This window comes from Homo sapiens, chromosome 21 (genome assembly GCF_000001405.40).
Source record: "Homo sapiens chromosome 21, GRCh38.p14 Primary Assembly".
NCBI lineage: Eukaryota > Metazoa > Chordata > Mammalia > Primates > Hominidae > Homo > Homo sapiens.
This window is the reverse complement of record NC_000021.9, coordinates 10,436,116-10,453,771: the sequence shown is the minus strand read 5'-3', so window position 1 is coordinate 10,453,771 and position 17,656 is coordinate 10,436,116. Positions and strand designations below refer to the sequence as shown.

Here is a 17,656-nt window from a genome sequence, read left to right as displayed (position 1 = left end):
CAAAACTAGTAATAGGAACATATATTATTTATGAGACATATTACTATTTTTTACCCTGCCTAAAAATAAATACAAAATAAACTCATCAATTATAAGTTAACAGGGACATAAATAGTTAGACTCACAAAAAAAAAACTACATACTTCAATGTAGCAATCAACTTCAAATTTCTTAACAAAAGATGGAAATGTGGGGGAAAAAAATTAGTCATCTGGTATCTTTCCCATTTCAACCTGCCTCCATTATCTTGCAAGTGGTAAAACACACAGAAATAAGCCCCAAACAAGAGGGGCAGTCTAGGGCAAGTGAACACATAAGAAGTCAGAAGAAATTATGTAAAATGTTGCATTTACTTATTCAGTTTTCCCTTAGAATGATTCACAAACTCTTCCTCATTCTCCCAAGTCCATTTTGAGCATCATTTTCTTTGAAGAGAGTCTGATGGGCCCTGTACTGTACAGTATGAAATCTCTCTGTGGGAAATGACTATCTAACATAAATTTTTGTTTACACCGTTACATAGTACCTACTTGCTTATGCCATTACATGATCAGTTTATCTTTTTCTCATCCTAATCCAAGATCCTTCAGTTGAGGCACCATACTATCTTTGTATCCAAAGCACCAAAAATGCTGCTTCAAACAGGCCCTAATAGATAAGTGTTCCTATACATATACCAAAAAGTCTTAACTTTTGGTGATCTTGTTTGTGAGTGTGGCTCATAAACAGCTTAGCTGAGATAACTGGAGCCTCACGTAGCAGAGACAGTTGGACCCTGCTAACATTACTGTGGATATCTTCACATGTTACTACACTGACTTTATATTCTGCTAATTAACCAGGGACTACAGCAGTTAAAATTATAATTGTTTTCAATGTTTTATGTGTAAATCTGTATTTCACATACTATCAAACTCTTCCTCACTGTCATCAGTCTACTGCATTGAATCAACATAACAAAGCTAAATGACTCCTGAGGGCCGAATCAGAAAGAAGAAAAGAAAGAGATACAAAACTTTGGCCAGCCCAGTGGCTCACACCTGTAATCCTGGCACTTTAGAAGGCCAAGGCGGGCGGATCACGAGGTCAGGAGATCGAGACCATCCTGGCTGACACAGTGAAACTCCATCTCTACTGAAAATACAAAAAATTAGCCGGACGTGGTGGCAGGCACCTGTAGTCCCAGCTACTTAGGAGGCTGAAGCAGGAGAAGCTTCTAAATAACTCATAAACACTAATTACTGTTGTGACACTTTAATTTTATATAATATTTATAAGTATACAGAATAACATTTCAGTGCTATTTTGGCACTCAAGGGTATTAATGTATTAGAAACACAGAAAAAATATTTGTCTTCATTGATAAAGTGTAATAACCAGCTTTTACAAAACAGGTAATTTTTTATATTGTAACTCCCAAGGTATCTAAATATGTTTAGTGCATTAACAGAACCCAGAATTAACTGCAAATACAACACCTTGGTAGTCTAAATGTCCAAACAGAAAGTTCACGTAAATGTCGAAAGAAAAAGTACAATCAATCTGTTGAAAAATATTTATAACAACTCATTAGCATAACTAATTTCTGCTAAATTGTTAAAATCTAAAATCGCTTATTTTGATACCATATGGCAAGTTTTGCAGAAGCCTTTTGCACTAAAAATAATCTTGGCAGATAAAATATAATGAGAGGTAAGTATATAATAACAGAAAATAATTTAAATTGACCAGCTTCTCAATGTCTTTCTCATTTTAGAAACACCAATATGTTCTCTTAATCATATCTGCAATGAAAAATATTATATTAGCTAAACTAATACGAAAAGTACTGGAATATATCTAACATACTAATTTACAATATCATATAAAGGTATCAGTGAATAAAAGAAGGAAAATAAAACACTACATTTAGGGGAACGCTTCAAACCCATATGTTACAATTAAATAGCTAATGAAGAGCACTCGGCATTAAAAGAAAACGTTTACTATATATACACAGTCTGGAATGTATCTTCCTAAACCAAATAAAAAGGACTTGTAAAATCATAGACAATATCAAAGAATAGATTTCTACAGGGAACTTCTCAAATGTCAACACTCTTATACACTACACATAAAAGAAATCAAGCAAGTTAAAATATTAATAATATAATAAGTAATATATAATACATAAGTAACAATTACAAAGCTAATTAACATTTGGGAAGGAGGGATAAAGTAAACAGCTCTTGGCCGGGCATGGTGGCTCACGCTTTTAACTCCAGCACTTTCGGAGGCTGAGGCAGGTGGATCATTTGAGCTCAGGAGTTCGAAACCAGCCTGGGCAACGTGGTGAAACTCCATCTCTACAAAAAATACAATAATTAGGTAGGCATGGTGGCTGGCATGCACCTATAGTCCCAGCTACTCATGAGCCTGGGGTGGGAAAATTGCTTGAGCCCAGGAGGTTGAGGCTGCAGTGAGCTGTGATCACGCTACTGCACTCTAGCCTGGGCAACAAAAGTGAGAACCTGTCTATAAAAATTAAAAAAAAAAAAAGCCCTTAAATGGTTTATCAACTAAATGGTTTATTTGAATCAATAAAGAAAATTCCTAGACAGCATTTTTTCTTTTTACTTTTATTCGTCATTAAAAAGACAGGGAGTAAGAAAAGGAAAAAAAGTAACATGTTATAAATATTTTCCCATATTAATCCAAGAACACAATAAGAACAACAAAAACTCAGTGAGAACTCATATTACCAATTTTAAGAATGAGTCTGAGGAATTTTCAAAACTTTTATTTAATAGATTGAAATAATCTGTCAAAATGTATCTATAAAACACAACAGAATGAACAAAATTTCTGAGATTAAAGTTGTATCATAAAAAAATACCAAGAAGTTAAATATTCCACAGTTCATTTAATTAATTATCCAGTATTTATTCTGTACCAACTATAGCAATGGTTTTAGGCTACGTGCTCCAATAAATAAGTATTGTAAGGCTCCCCATGCTCCAAATTTGTTTTTAATCTTCACCAATCTGTTTTTAGTGTTAGGCAACTAGGATTCTCCCAGGATGCAGTAATAAAGAACAAAGATGGAAAGCAAGAGAAAGAGGTAGAATGACATGAAAATCTGATCCAGAAGGTGCAACGTCTGTTTTATATGAGTACCAGAAAGGGAGAAAATAGGAGGGATTATAATCACCAAAATTCTAAAGGAAAAGTTATGTATATATCTAATAATAAAAGCTAACATTTAATTAAGCATAATCCTCATTCAACAGATGAGGAATCTAAAACCCAAAGAGTCATTATCACTGTTCCACTTATCTCTGTATCCCTACAAAAATACTCACTCTTGATCTGTAACAATGCCTCCTTAAACTCCCTGAATGGCAGCTTCAGGTAAAAACTTCCCAGAAAGTTTGAAATAACAAGGATAAAAGGAAAATTCTTGGAGCCACATAAAAAAGAAAACAGATCATTACAAAAAAAGAAGAATCGGGCATCAGTTCTCATTACCAATACTGAATTAAAAAGAAACCCCCCAAAAAATCATTATTTTCCTAGGTCTATAAGAAATTATTTAAAACCAAAATTTTAATGTCTGTTAAGCTAACATTCAAGTCCACGGATAACAAATGTAAATAGTTTAAATTCTCTAGTAAAAGACAGCAACTTTCAAAATATGCAAAATATACTACTTAACACATACACATATTTTACATGTAACTATACTACAGACTTCATTTATGTATGTGTGTGTGTGTACACATATATAATATAAAATGAATGAAATACTTTGGATATTTGTCCCCGCCAAAATTTTATGTTGAAATGTAATCCCCGATGTTGGAGGTGGGGCCTTATGGGAGGTGTTTGGGTCATGGGGGCAAATCCCTCATGGCTTGGTGCTGTCCTTGCGATAACGAGTGAGTTCTCACAAGATCTGGTTGTTCAAAAGTGTATGGCATCTCCACCCATCTCCTCTGCTCCTGTTCTTGCTATGTGAGATGCCTGCTCCCCTTTCTCCTTCCACCGTTATTTCAAACTTTTTTTTTAAATTTATTATCTATTTTTTTTTTTGAGACAGAGTTTCACTCTGTTGCCCAGGCTGGAGTGCAATGGCCCGATCTCGGCTCACTGCAACCTCCGCCCCCCAGGTTCAAGCGATTCTCCTGCCTCAGTCTCCTGAGTAGCAGGGATTACAGGCACCTGTCACCGCAACCGGCTAAATGATTTCAAACTTCTTGAAGCCCTCACCAGAAGCAGATGCCAGCACCACACTTCCTGTACTGTCTGCAGAATCGTGAGCCAATTAAACCTCTTTTTGTTATCAATTACCCAGCGACAGGTATTTCTTTACAGCAACACAGGAGCGGCTGTATATATATATATATACATACATATATATTCATACATATGCACAATGCACAGTGACATACACAATTCAAAAACAGACTTGAGGGGAAAAAACACAAACGCTATCCAAAAAATGCAGGTATAGCAATAATTGCAAAGAAACAGAATTTAAACTAAAAAGCAGTGAACAAGTCAAAGATAATTTATAATAACGTAAGTTTTATGTTGCAGTGTAAATTCCAAAAGAAGCCATAGTCATTAGTTTATACACCTAATAAATATATGTCACATATAGAAAGTAAAGCTGAGTAGAAATAACATGCATAGATTAGACTTTAACATAGCTCTCAAATGAGGATATTAAGTAGATATGAAATAAATAATAACAATGATCGGTTTTGATTCAAACAGACACATAAAATACACGCAGATCTCTGAATTCCAAAAATAGAGAAAACATCCTATTCAAATGTACATAGAATTTTCAAAAAAACTTCACATGTATGGTCATAAAGAAATGTCCACATATTTTAAAAAGCAGGTATTTCCTAGGTTATATCCAGTAAAAGCAGATGCGTCCCTAGACCTAATACAATAAAAATTAGAAATTCATAATATAAGGATAAACTCCCAAATCTATCCACTGGCAAAATTTAAAAGTCCTTTCTATATAACGGCAGAGTTTCAATCAAGAAGAAAAATCATGTATTATTTTTAAATGATTAAGAAACATCAAAAATATCTCTGAGATGTGGCAAATGTGGTATTCAGAGGAAAAAAATATAGCTTCAAACATGCAAAACTGTAAGACTAAAGAATTACAATAAATAATGCCCGATTCAAAAATTAAGCCAATAAGAATCAACATATAATCCATGAGATTCGCCATCTAGGGAAGTAAACCCACCCTAATACTGTGTTTATTAAAATGCTGTTAATGAGATCCGAGGTTTAAACAACTCTTCACTTTAGAAAGTGAAATAAAGCTGACTGAAATAAAACCTAATCTATGAAATTATTCTGTATATGAATTGACCTGAAGTAATGAACAGTTCAATGACTGGCTTATGACTCTTGTTCTGGTCCAGGTTAATCATTCTAGTTGGCATACTATTAAACACACATTTCTGATTGAAACATCTGTTAAATAACATCAAACGACATTACAAAATCAAAATGGAGACTGCTAAGAGTGGGATTTTTCTCCTGCCAGTATCTTTCCTTTCTGCCACATCCTCCTCCCTGCTTCCACAGCAATCTTTCTAAAGGAATACAAATATATTCTGAATCACACGCAAACCCCTCAATACAGAATGTGTGGTAGGCAGTATTCTAAAATGCCCACATACCACCAACCCCACCAAATTTCCTACCCTAATACAGAGGCTGTAAATATGATGAAATATCATGGCAAGGATAATGCCATTAATATATTATATGGCAAAGGAATTCTGCAGATGTGATTAAAGCCACCAATCAACTGCCTTTGCATTAATCAAAAGGGAGATTTGCCTAATCTAATCAAATAACCTCTTTGAAAGCTGGAGTTTTCTCCAGCTAGTAGCAAAAGGGAAATTCATAGCAAGGGAACATTTCAATACACTGTTGCTATCTTTGAAGATAAAAAGAGCCAGGAGCAAAAACCAAAGAGTGGCCTCTAGGAACTGAGAGTGACCCAAGCCAATAGGCAGTAAGAAAATGGTGAGCTCAGCAGGGTGTGGTGGCTCATGCCTGTAATCCCAGCACTTTGGGAGGCCAAGGCAGGAGGATCACGAGGTCATGAGATCGAGACCATCCTGGCTAACACGGTAAAACCCCGTTTCTGCTAAAAATACAAAAAAAAAAAAAATTAGCCGGCATGGTGGTGCACGCCTGTAATCCCGGCCACTTGGGAGGCTGAGGCATGAGAATCACTTGAACCCAGGAGGCAGAGGTTGCAGTGAGCCGAGACTGCACCACCGCACTCCAGCCTGTGCGACAGAGCAAGACTCTGTCTCAAAAAAAAAAAAAAAAAAAAAAAAAAGAAAAAGAAAATGGCGAGCTCAGCCCTACAACTGCATAGAACTGAATTCCTCCCACATCTGAATGCCCCAGAAGAGGATTCACCCCCGGAGCCTCCACCCAGGTAACACCTTGATTTGAATCCTGTGAGACCTTAAACAGAGAGCACAGTTGAGCCTGCCCTGAGTTCTGACCTAAGTAAATGGGTGCTGTTTTAAGATATTAAGTTTATGGTAGTTGCTTTATAATAATAGATAACAAATAGAGCAGCATTTCAAGGCCCTCCATGCTTTGGTCTCTGCCAAATCACTATTAGATTTTTAAGATTTTTTTTTACACATTATACTTACATTACACAATGTCTTAACACTATGAAGTAAAAATGTAAATATTTTAAACTCTGGCTTGGAAATGAGGAGGCAGAATCTCAGAAATTTTCCTAAAATAAAATAGGAGAGGCAAGCTTTCTGAGTCCACAAAAGTGCCCTCTACCTATTGGGTCAAAGAAAAAGTAATTTCTCTATTTGTAACAACATACATAAATTATAAACCCTGAAGAAATAGGTCCCTAATAGCTATAATCTTTAACATAACCATAAATAAAAACATGAATAAATCTGACTACATAAAAATGTAAAAACTTCTATGTGGTGAGAACACACATTACAGAAAAAAAAATCAAATGACAAAAAATAACCTCCAATTTGGATTACAAATATCTAGTATCCTGGATATATACAAATAAAGCATGTAAGTTATAAAAATGAGTATAATTTTAAAATAGACAAGGATACTTTATAGAATTTCATAATTTAAGGAAGACATAAAGTTAGCCAATAAACTATGGGTAATATGCAAGAATCAGTAAGCATTATTATTTGCCAGCAGCTAAGCCAAGTACTTTATAAGAATTACTTTATTCCCATCTATGCCAGGCACAGTGGCTCACGCAAGTAATGCCAACACTTCGGAAGGCAGAGGTGGGTGGATCACCTGAGGTCAGGAGATTTAGACCACCCTGGCCAACATGGCGAGACCACGTTTCTATTAAAAATACAAAAATTAGCTGGGCCTGGTGGCAGGTGCCTGTAATCCCAGCTACTTGGAAGGCTGAGGCAGGAGAATCAGTTGAACCCAGGAGGTAGAGGTTGCAGTGAGCTGAGATCATGCCACTGCACTCCAGCCTGGGCAACAGAGTGAGACTCCATCTCAAAAACAAAAACAAAAACAAAAACAAAAACAAAGAAATTACTTTATTCCCATCTAACCACCACCACTTTAGGTAGATATCACTATTTTTCATTTTACAAATGAAGCAGAGAGGTTAAATTTCCTTGTTCAAGTCCATAGAGTCAGGAAATGAAAAAGGAACTGAACTCAAGGAGTTCATAATTATTTATATACAAGTAATAAAGACAAATTCATTGACTATGGAAATGTACTGAGTATTTTGTCTTGTTTACATAATGGTTTTTATTTAGGTTGTAAGAAAATAACATATAACCAGGCACGGTGGCTCGTGCATGTAATCCCAGCACTTTGGGAAGCCAAGGCAGGCGGATCACTTGAGACCAGGAGTTCGAGACCAACCTGGCCAACATGGCAAAACCCCATTTCTACCAAAAAAAATACAAAAATTAGCCAGGCATGGTGGTGCACGCCTGTAATCCTAGCTACTTGAGAGGCTGAGGCAGGAGAATCGCTTGAACCCGGGAGGTGGAGGTTGCAGTGAGCCAAGATTGCACCACTGCACTCCAGCCTGGGTGACAGAGCTGGATTTTGTCTCAAAAAAATAAAAAGTAAAAAAGAAAGTAAGAAAAGAAAGTAGCCACTTTGGGGTTAGAATCCATAATACTCTCAGTGTCAACCAAAAGAAATGTACTGCAATGTTCACAGAACACAATTCATAATGACCTCAAATTGAAAGTCCTCAAAATGCCCAACGGTAAAATAAATAAATTATAGTACTCTTAACAACAGAATACTATATATCAATGAGAAAAATAAACGACTTAGTAGCTCAATTATACGAAGTACAAAGCCAATTACGCAAAGTACAAACATAGGCAAGACTCACCTATGTTGTTACTAGATGATAGTGCATGTCTCTGGGGAGTTAGGAATAGTAACCAACAGGAGGCTTGAATGGAATGTCTGGGGCGCTATTATTTGTTTCCTGATGTGATTTTAGTATATAGGTTCTAATATTTGGGGTATTCCTAGAAATGTGTACCTATTATTCACTTGCTCTATATATATAGCAAAGTGAATTTTATATATAATTCTTCAACATATTTTTAGAAAAATTAAGTTTTTTTAGAAAATCAAGAGAATTTTAGATAAAAACTCAACTTTTAATGGAAAATATTTTCCTTTTTCTTTCTCACATGAAATCCTCTATCAAGGTTAGTATCCTACCTGGCATCTCTCCAATACTGGGTTAAGAGTTTTTCTTCTCAAGTAACCTGTATTATATTAAGATGATATTAACTGAAATAATCAGATAGATGACTGCGCCATAAAGCTAATTCTAAGGTATCTGTCCTTAGCCAAAAGCAGAAAAGGGATACACATAACTTCCACATAAAACATCCACCCTCATTTTTTTGGTTATTCTTAAAAGCTCATAATGTATACAATGATAAAATTTATTGTTTCAAATTAGGGTTTTTGAAATTGAAATATTAATTTAAACACGTTTGCTTAACACAACTTTAAAGTTAATAAGAAAACACTGCATATTACAGAAGAGTTAAATACTTCAAAAAGTGGGAAAGAATTTAAAAGCTTTCATTTGAGTAGGAGTAAACACAGACACACTAAGAATCTAGTTGGATACACTTAAATCATGTCTTTTAAGAACATAAGAACAGATTATTTGCTTCCTCTTTAGTCCAAAACCTTGGTGTAATTTTAGTCCAAATTTGAAACTAACAGAAGAATACTCAGCTTCTTAAAAGTTTTATTTCAAGAACAGTAAAAGAACTTCTGGTCTTACAAACATTACACAGATAAAACGAGTTTCTCCAAACAGATGTATGTAAAAATCTAGTACATATACCCCCAAGTTGAGTCAATAAGGTGAACCAGATTCTGGTTGAATGGAATCCTTGAAATATAACTTTGGTGAACAAACTGTTTGTGTTTTCCACTTTTCTTAAAAAAAGAAGTGATAAAGCAGATTTCCAGTACCTGCCAGCTGACAAAATGCTACTTACCAGGTAAAAACCACTGCCAAAAATCAGAATCACAGAAGGGCTATCAGTAAAATTATTAATGCCACAAATTAACATGATGTTAACAGCTGATTTATGCATCAAAAGAGTATTTATATAATCACAGCAAATAACTCAAATCTTTTACATCACTAGTAAACTCAAAAAATATAGCAAAAAGCAATAACATTAAATTTCATTATTGATCTACTAGCTTTAACTATTTAATACTAGTACACTTAGTTTTGATTACTTTGAAATTGAAGCAAAAACAATAATCTTTTCTTCTTTTAATGACTTTTTCAGTTACAGGAAAGATGATATTAAAAGAAGATATACAACCATAGCTTAGCTACAGGTATAAAATTGTTTTAAAGATATGTAATTGTGCTATTGAATTAAACTGAAAACATAAATATCAACTCATGATTTTGAAAAAAAAATCTTTTTTATGTTTGGTTTTGGTAAAAGGAGAGATAAATAAGTCAGAAGAACAGAAAATACAGAAATAGGCAAACTTTCCCATATTCAATTAATTTTTGAGCAAGGGGTCAAGGTAATTCAAGAGAGCAATAAATAATCTTTTAGAATGATGCTGGAACTGCCAAATAATTCATATGGAAAACAAAGAAACATGAATCTTATCTCGTATTCTCTTATCATATGTGTAATTTAACCATAAATGGATTTTTTAAACCTACAAGTAACACTGCGGCAAGCAAAGATTTTTTAATAAAGCATAAAGAGCATAATTTTTTCAACTTCAAAAAATTAACAAATGACAAATGTCATCAAAATGAAACCCTCTGCTGTTCAATAAACATTGCTAAATAAATGAAAACAAGTCACACATTAGGCAAAAATATTTATAAAATGCATCTCCAATAACTGACTTCTGTGAATAATATATTAAAAAAAACTTAGAACTCAAGAAGATGACAAGCAAATCAATTGGAAAAAAATGGTGGTAGAGACAAAATACTTTAACAGACATGTCACCAAAGATACACAAATGGCAAAAAAAAAGACATAAAAAGAAGCTCAATCTAATTAATCATCAGAGAATGCAAAATCAAACCCACAATAAATTGTCACTAAATGCCAACCAGATGGCTAAAATTTAGAAACAGTGGCAATATCCAGTGCTGGCAACAATGTACAGCAAATGGAACTCTCAGATCTCTAGAAATGGAAAAGTATACAGACACTTTTTAAGAAACTGTGAAACTGTTTTCCAAAGTTAAGAATATTATTTCCAACAAGTCAGAAATTCCAGTCCTAGGTATTTACCCAAGAAACATGAAAAGATACATCTACAACGAAGCATGTTACATAAATGCTCACAGCAGCTTTATATACTGGCCAAAAATTGAACGAAACTTAACTGTAAGCTAGTGAATGGACCAATCTCAAAACGATTATGCTAAGCAAAAAAAAGGCAGATGGAAAAGATTCTATACTGTATGGTTCCATTCATATATTAGTCTAGAAAAGGCAAAACTATAGGAAAGCAACAGATCGGTGATTGCCAGGAGCTGGAGTGGGAGGTAGGCAGTAACTTCAAAAAGTCATGAGCGAATTTATGGGTAAAGGGTCTATTCTGTATCTTGACTATGATGGTAATTACATGACTGTTCATATTTACCAAATCACATTCAATACACACCTTAGAAAGGGTGAATTATAGTGTATGCAAAATATACCTTAACAAAACAATGACTCTCACACATAAATTTATTTATTTATTGGGTAACAGCATAGGGGCTAATATCAGAATAACTTTCCTAAAATGTCTCAAATCTGAAGAAAATGTAAAAGCTAACTAATTGAAGTTACCTGTAAATAACCAAAAACTGGCTGGAATGGGAGGACATTTTACCCTTGGAAAAAAAGCGGAATATCATTGGCTAAAATCTATATTTAAATAGAGTTTCAGTCTGGGCACGATGGCTCCTGCCTGTAATCCCAGCACTCTGGAAGGCCGAGGAAGGTGGACCACCTAAGGCCAGGATTTTGAGAGCAGCCTAGCCAACATGGTGAAACCCCACCTCTACTAAAAATACAAAAATTAGCTGGGTGTGGTGGTGGGCACCTTATAGTCCCGGCTACTTGAGAGGCTGAGGCACAAGAATCGCTTGAACCTGGGAGGTGGAGGTGGCTGTGAGCCAAGATTGCGCCATTGCACTCCAGCCTGGGCGACAGAGACCCTGTCTCAAAAGAAAAGAAAAGAAAATTCTACAACTAATAAGTATAGTACTTTCAATGAAAATTTTAGTGGATGGGCTTAACAAGAGATTGGTAGAAAATTGGTCCATCTCCTTGAAAATACATGAATAGTGTATCTATTCTGAGGAACTAAAAGTAAAAACACTGGGAAGAAGACGAACAGACCCTCAGTAACCTACAAAATATCAAATATACTAACATTCATGTAATTAGAGTTACAGAGGAAGAGGAGAGAGAAATGAGACAGAAAAAGAATAAGAAATAAAAGTCAAGCTTTTCACAAATTTGGTGAAAAATATCAACTTACACTTTCAAGAAGCTCAGCAACCCCCAAGCAGGATGAATACAAAGAAAACCACACCTAGGCACATCATAGTCAGACTGCTGAAAACCAAATATAAAGAGAAAATCCTGAAAGCAGCCAGAGAATATCAAAACATTACTATATACATGGGAATAATGATACTGACACCACACCTGACTTCTCATTAGAAACCATGGAAGACAGGAAACAATGCAACATCTTTTAAATGCTTGAAGAAGAAAAACATAATCATCCCAGAACTCTATATTCAGGGAAAAAAAGACAAAAATGCATGCAGACTTCCACTTCCAGGCAAAATGCAGAAAATGTACTTTTCCCTGTTCTTTCCACTAAATACAGCTTTAAAAACCCTTGGCCGTGATACATAAGACAAACAAAGGAAGACAACAAAATGTAGAGAGAGGGCAGACCAATTAGGGCTTCAGGTGCCAAGAAACACAAGAGGATGAATTCCCTAGGTTTCCTTTCTGACTCATATATACAAGAAAAGTTGCTAGAGAAGCAGACAACTCAGAAACACCAACAGGCACACACATACATAAAACTCCAAGAAAATTCTGCTGTCTCTTGTCAAAAAAGCAGGGAAGCGGCAGGCTACCAAGAAAAAAAAACTCACAGACAACAACCAACCAGTTTAAGCCAAAGGGTACAAATAAAACCCCAAGCCATATACCTTTTGCAAAGACTTAAAAGGAGGACATAGTCAGCCATTCCCCACTCCTACCCACAGACAACATGATACCACAGCAGGCCAAGTGGGGACACAGGACACTCATACCCACTGAGCAGTAACGCGGCTTCCTCCCTCTAGAGTGTGGGTGGAAAAAAAGTGGGGAGCCTGAGTTCAACACCCACCCAATGATAAGGACATATCCCTATCCCTCCCTCTACAGAGATATGACAGCAGAGGCCTACTGGAGAATCCAAACTCAAAGCACTGCTCAGTGATAACTTAACCACCCCTCCATCCCAGTGTCAGTGGAGGCCAAGTGAAAAGCAGGAACCTTTTGAGCCAGGGTGGTATTCACAAAGGTATAATGCAAGTCCAGAGTTTTCATTCCTACTCAGCATTTACTAGGTGTACGTCTCCATCAGTGAGTCAACAAAGGCCTACTATGAAACTGGAATCTTCACATACACCTGGGAGTAGTAACAAGGCTGTGCCCCACCTCCACCCCAAAAGCAAAGTTTCAGATAAATCCTACTAAAAGGGGGGATTTAAATAAAATGCAGAGCTTCATAACACAACACTTAAAATGCAAAGGATTCAACCAAATATACCATGTCATACCATACTAAGAACCAGGAAAATCTGAACAGGAATTTGAAAATATAGTCAAAAGGTGCAAACAATGAGAATTCATAGAGGTCATAATTATCTATCAAAGATTTTAAACTATATATTATAAAACTGCGTCAACAAGCAATTACAGCTGGACACAGTGGCTCACGCCTGTAATCCCAGCACTTTGGGAGGCAGAGGTGGTTGGATCACTTGAGGTCAGGAGTTCGAGACCAGCCTGGCCAACATCATGAAACCCCATCTGTACTAAAAATACAAAAATTAGCCAGGCATGGTGGTTCACGCCGTGATTCCAGCTACTTGGGAGGCTGAGGCATGAGAATCACTTGAACCCAGGAAGCAGAGGTTGCAGTGAGCTGAGATCATTCTACTGCATTCCAGCCTGGGCAACAGAGCAAGAGTCTGCCTCAAAAAAAAAAAAAAAAGCAATTACAAACTTAATTTTGAAACAAAGGAAACAATACAAAGTTTCACAAAGAAATCAAGAAAGAAACAAATACCAAGTTGAAAATTAAAAAATATGCTAGCAATAATAAAATACAAACTAAACTGAACAACAAAATGGGAGAGATTACCCAACCTAGAGAAGTAAATGAACTGATTAAAAAAAAAAAAAAACAGTGGCCAGGTGCGGTCACTCAGGCCTGTCATCCTAGCACTTTGGGAGGCCGAGATGGGTGGATCACCTCAGGTGAGGAGTTCAAGACCAGCCTGGCCAACATGGCAAAACCCTGTCTCTAATAAAAATACAAAAATTAGCTGGGCATGGTGGCACACACCTATAATTCCAGCTACTCAGGAGGCTGAGGCAGGAGAATCACTTAGACCCAGGGGTGGAGGCTGCAGTGAGCTGAGATCGTACCACTTCACTCCAGCCTGGGCAAAAGAGCAAAACTCTGACAATAAATAAACAAATAAATACATATTTTTTTTAAAAAAAGGCATTAAAGACACTTGTGGGAATATAATAAATGATGCAACATTCCTGTCACTGGAATCTCAGAAAAGGAACATGATGCAGCTGAACAATTATTCGAAGACCCACAGATTCAAGAAATTGAATAAATCCTAAGAGGATACACACAAATAAATCAATGCTAATATATATCATAAACTTCTGAAAACTAATGACTAAACTTAAAAACCTTGAGATAAATAAGAGAAATGACACCTTATCCACAGATGAAAAACAACTCAAATGACAGCAGATTTCTCACCTGAAACCATGGAGGCCAGAACAAAGCAGCATAACATTTTTGCAAGTCCTAAAAGAACCGACAACAAAGAATTCTATATCCAGCAAAAACATCCATTAGTAATGAAAGGGAAATCAAGAAATTGTGAGATGAATGAGAACTAAAACTTAGTCATGAGACAAAACTACAGCAAAAGAATAGTGAGAAAAGTTATTGAACCAGAAAGGAGAATGATAAAAAGAAGGATTCTCAGAACATCCTGAAGGAAGAAAGAACAAACAAATAGTAAAAATATGGGCAATAAAACAGACTTTACTGTTCCTTGAGTTTCCAAAATAATGTTTAACAATTGAAGCAAAAATTGTTACATGGTGCAAAAGCTATGGTGGGTAATACTGTTGATGCATTTCCAAAACTGAAGGCAGCTGGCACCAAGCTGTATTAGAAGTTGTCACATTCTCAACTGGCACTACAACTACAGTAAAAATAATGTAGAGTATCATTGAGAATATCACTGATGAAGCAGCAAAAATCTTTAATGTTTTAAGTCTTGATCCATGAATACACATCTTTTAATTATCTATGTGACAAAACGAGAAATAAAGCATAAAATAATTGTTACACCATAGTTTTTCTTGAGGAAAGAATTTGTGATCATGTGATTTATAAACTGAAATAACTGCTTTTTTCATGGAACACTGTTTTTACATGTAAGAACAACAAACCACAATTATTAAAACTTGATTATCTGACATATTTCTTCAAAAATGAATAAAGTGAGCCTGTCACTTCAAGGAAAACAACTTAGAACATGAGTGGACAATAAGATCTGAAAAACTTACAACCAACAATGTAAGCTTAACTAATTCCAATACTTAAAGACTTTTCTGATGAGATCAGTCGATTATAACAAATGTGAATTTTGTTATTTATTAAAAATATGTAGGACTAGGTAAGGTGGCTCACACTTGTAATCCCAGCACTTTGGGATCACTGGAGGTCAGGAGTTCAAGACCAGCCTAGCCAACATAGTGAAACCCCATCTCTACTAAAAATACGAAAATTAGCTGGGCCTGGCGGTGCATGCCTATAGTCCCAGCTACTCAGGAGGCTGAGGCATGAGCATCACCTGAACCCAGGAGATGGAAGTGAGCTGAGATCGCACCACTGCACTCCAGCCTGGGCAACAGAGTGAGATTCTGTCTCAAACAAAACAAAACAAACAAACAAAAACAACCGTATGAATAGTTGGACTATCTGGATCACTCAGTGAATCAATATTTTCCAAAGACCACTTAGTAATCTAATAAAATCATATATGGGTAAAAGATCCCCTGAAATTGCAAGGTAGTCTAATAAATTTTATATATATATATATATATATATATATTTTTTTTTGTCTGAGATGGAGTCTCACTCTGTCACCCACGCTGGAGTGCAGTGGCACAATCTCGGCTCACTGCAACCTCCACCTCCTGGATTCAAGCGATTCTCTGCCTTGGCCTCCCCCGTAGGTGGGATTGCAGGTGACTGCTATAATGCCTGGCTAATTTTTGTATTTTTAGTAGAGACGGGGTTTCACAATCTTGGCCAGGCTGGTCTTGAGCTCCTGACCTCGTGATCCACCCGCTTCAGCCTCCCAAAGTGCTGGGATTACAGGCGTGAACTACTGCGCCCAGCCCATAAATTATAATTTTAAAGGGTAAAGATATAAAGTTCATTGATGGGATTGCAGTCTTCAGATTGCACCAAACCACTTGAAAAACTTGAGAAACTACCACTTCTCAAGCTTTGGTTTAGTATCAAACAGGAATATTCATTAGGGCTTGTGCTTTCATTCTTACGGTATCTTTTAATAAACAGAAGTTATTTCTCAAATGTAGTTGAATGCTCCAATATTTTCTTTACATTCAGTGCTGTATCTCAAGAACTCTTTTACAAAAATATTATCCTATATTATCTTTTTAAGTATAAATAAAAATAATTATCTTTTTAAAAGCTTATGAGTTTAGGTGGAAATATGAAGGGCCAAAAGGAATTGGAAGATATTTTCCTACTATTTGTTCTTTCTCTTGATTTTCATGATTCATTATTCTTGTAGAAGTGACCTTACCACAGTATAAGGTTCACTTATAATCACTGTTCTGCCTTGTAATTTTAGGTGAATTTGTTACAAAATATTATGAAATCTATAGGAAAAGCCAACTTTCAAAGCTATTAAGCATTTGACTTAACAGTTGAGGGCAATATTATTCAGAAAAATTTCAATCTCATTCCTCAGCGCAAAAAACTGAAATAAAACTTTACCACTGCCAAGTCATTAAATTGCTCTGTATAATGGCAATTCAGTATATTCTGCCTCTATATCTAACAAAAATTCATAGGATTTGATGATAAAGTCCACAAATGCAAGTCAAAATCACTGCTGACACTATTATATAATAGTTCACTAAAACATGACAGATTTAAATATTTTCTGCAAAGTACCTGCTAATAAATAATACAATAAATAATCAGGCTTTAAACACCTGACATTTAACAAGCTTTGTAAATTTGTCCAACTCAAGTCTTTCTGCTCCACAGTTATTTTTGCCACTATCAACTGTAACGCATCTTAGCGGATTCCACTTCAGGTTGTACTAAGTTAGTGTTTGCTCAACTTTTCTGAAAATATTTTCTCTTGTACTTGTTTCACATAGACTATGCATAAATACTAATTCTTCAATCACTTCAAACTCAGCACTGACTTCTGGAATATGTAACAACTGAACAGTACTGGTAACACCTATTCATCCATCAAAAGCCTAAGAAAACCATGAAAAATCATTCACCCTTCTTTCCAAAATGACTTGATATTACTCCCAATGTCCTTAACTTTTAGAGCAATTACTCTCACTGAAAGGCTAATAGTCTTTTTTAAAGTTTATTTTCTACGGACACATCTTTGGTTACCATAATAAAACATAATTTAATTAACTACTGTTGGTAATGGTTTTCCTTGCTTGGCTAACAAGCCATTGAAAAACTTACTTTAATTATAGCC

General features: G+C 35.6%; 1 pseudogene across 2 annotated transcripts in view, besides 2 other annotated features; it reads right to left on the bottom strand.

The window, feature by feature from the left end:
* The window catches only part of BAGE2 (BAGE family member 2 (pseudogene)), a 104,778-nt pseudogene that overhangs the window by 64,503 nt on the left and 22,619 nt on the right, over positions 1-17,656 (bottom strand). The window lies entirely within an intron of this gene.
* Positions 180-963: an enhancer, noted in NCBI's record as "OCT4-NANOG hESC enhancer chr21:11058865-11059648 (GRCh37/hg19 assembly coordinates)". NCBI's record gives its function as "activates a minimal SCP1, AML or CMV promoter by ChIP-STARR-seq in primed H9 embryonic stem cells {active_cell/tissue: H9 hESC(primed)}" and the evidence as "EXISTENCE:reporter gene assay evidence [ECO:0000049][PMID:30033119]".
* Positions 6,344-6,638: a silencer, noted in NCBI's record as "tiled region #1956; K562 Repressive non-DNase unmatched - State 25:Art". NCBI's record gives its function as "represses a minimal TATA promoter and a strong SV40 promoter by Sharpr-MPRA in K562 cells {active_cell/tissue: K562}" and the evidence as "EXISTENCE:reporter gene assay evidence [ECO:0000049][PMID:27701403]".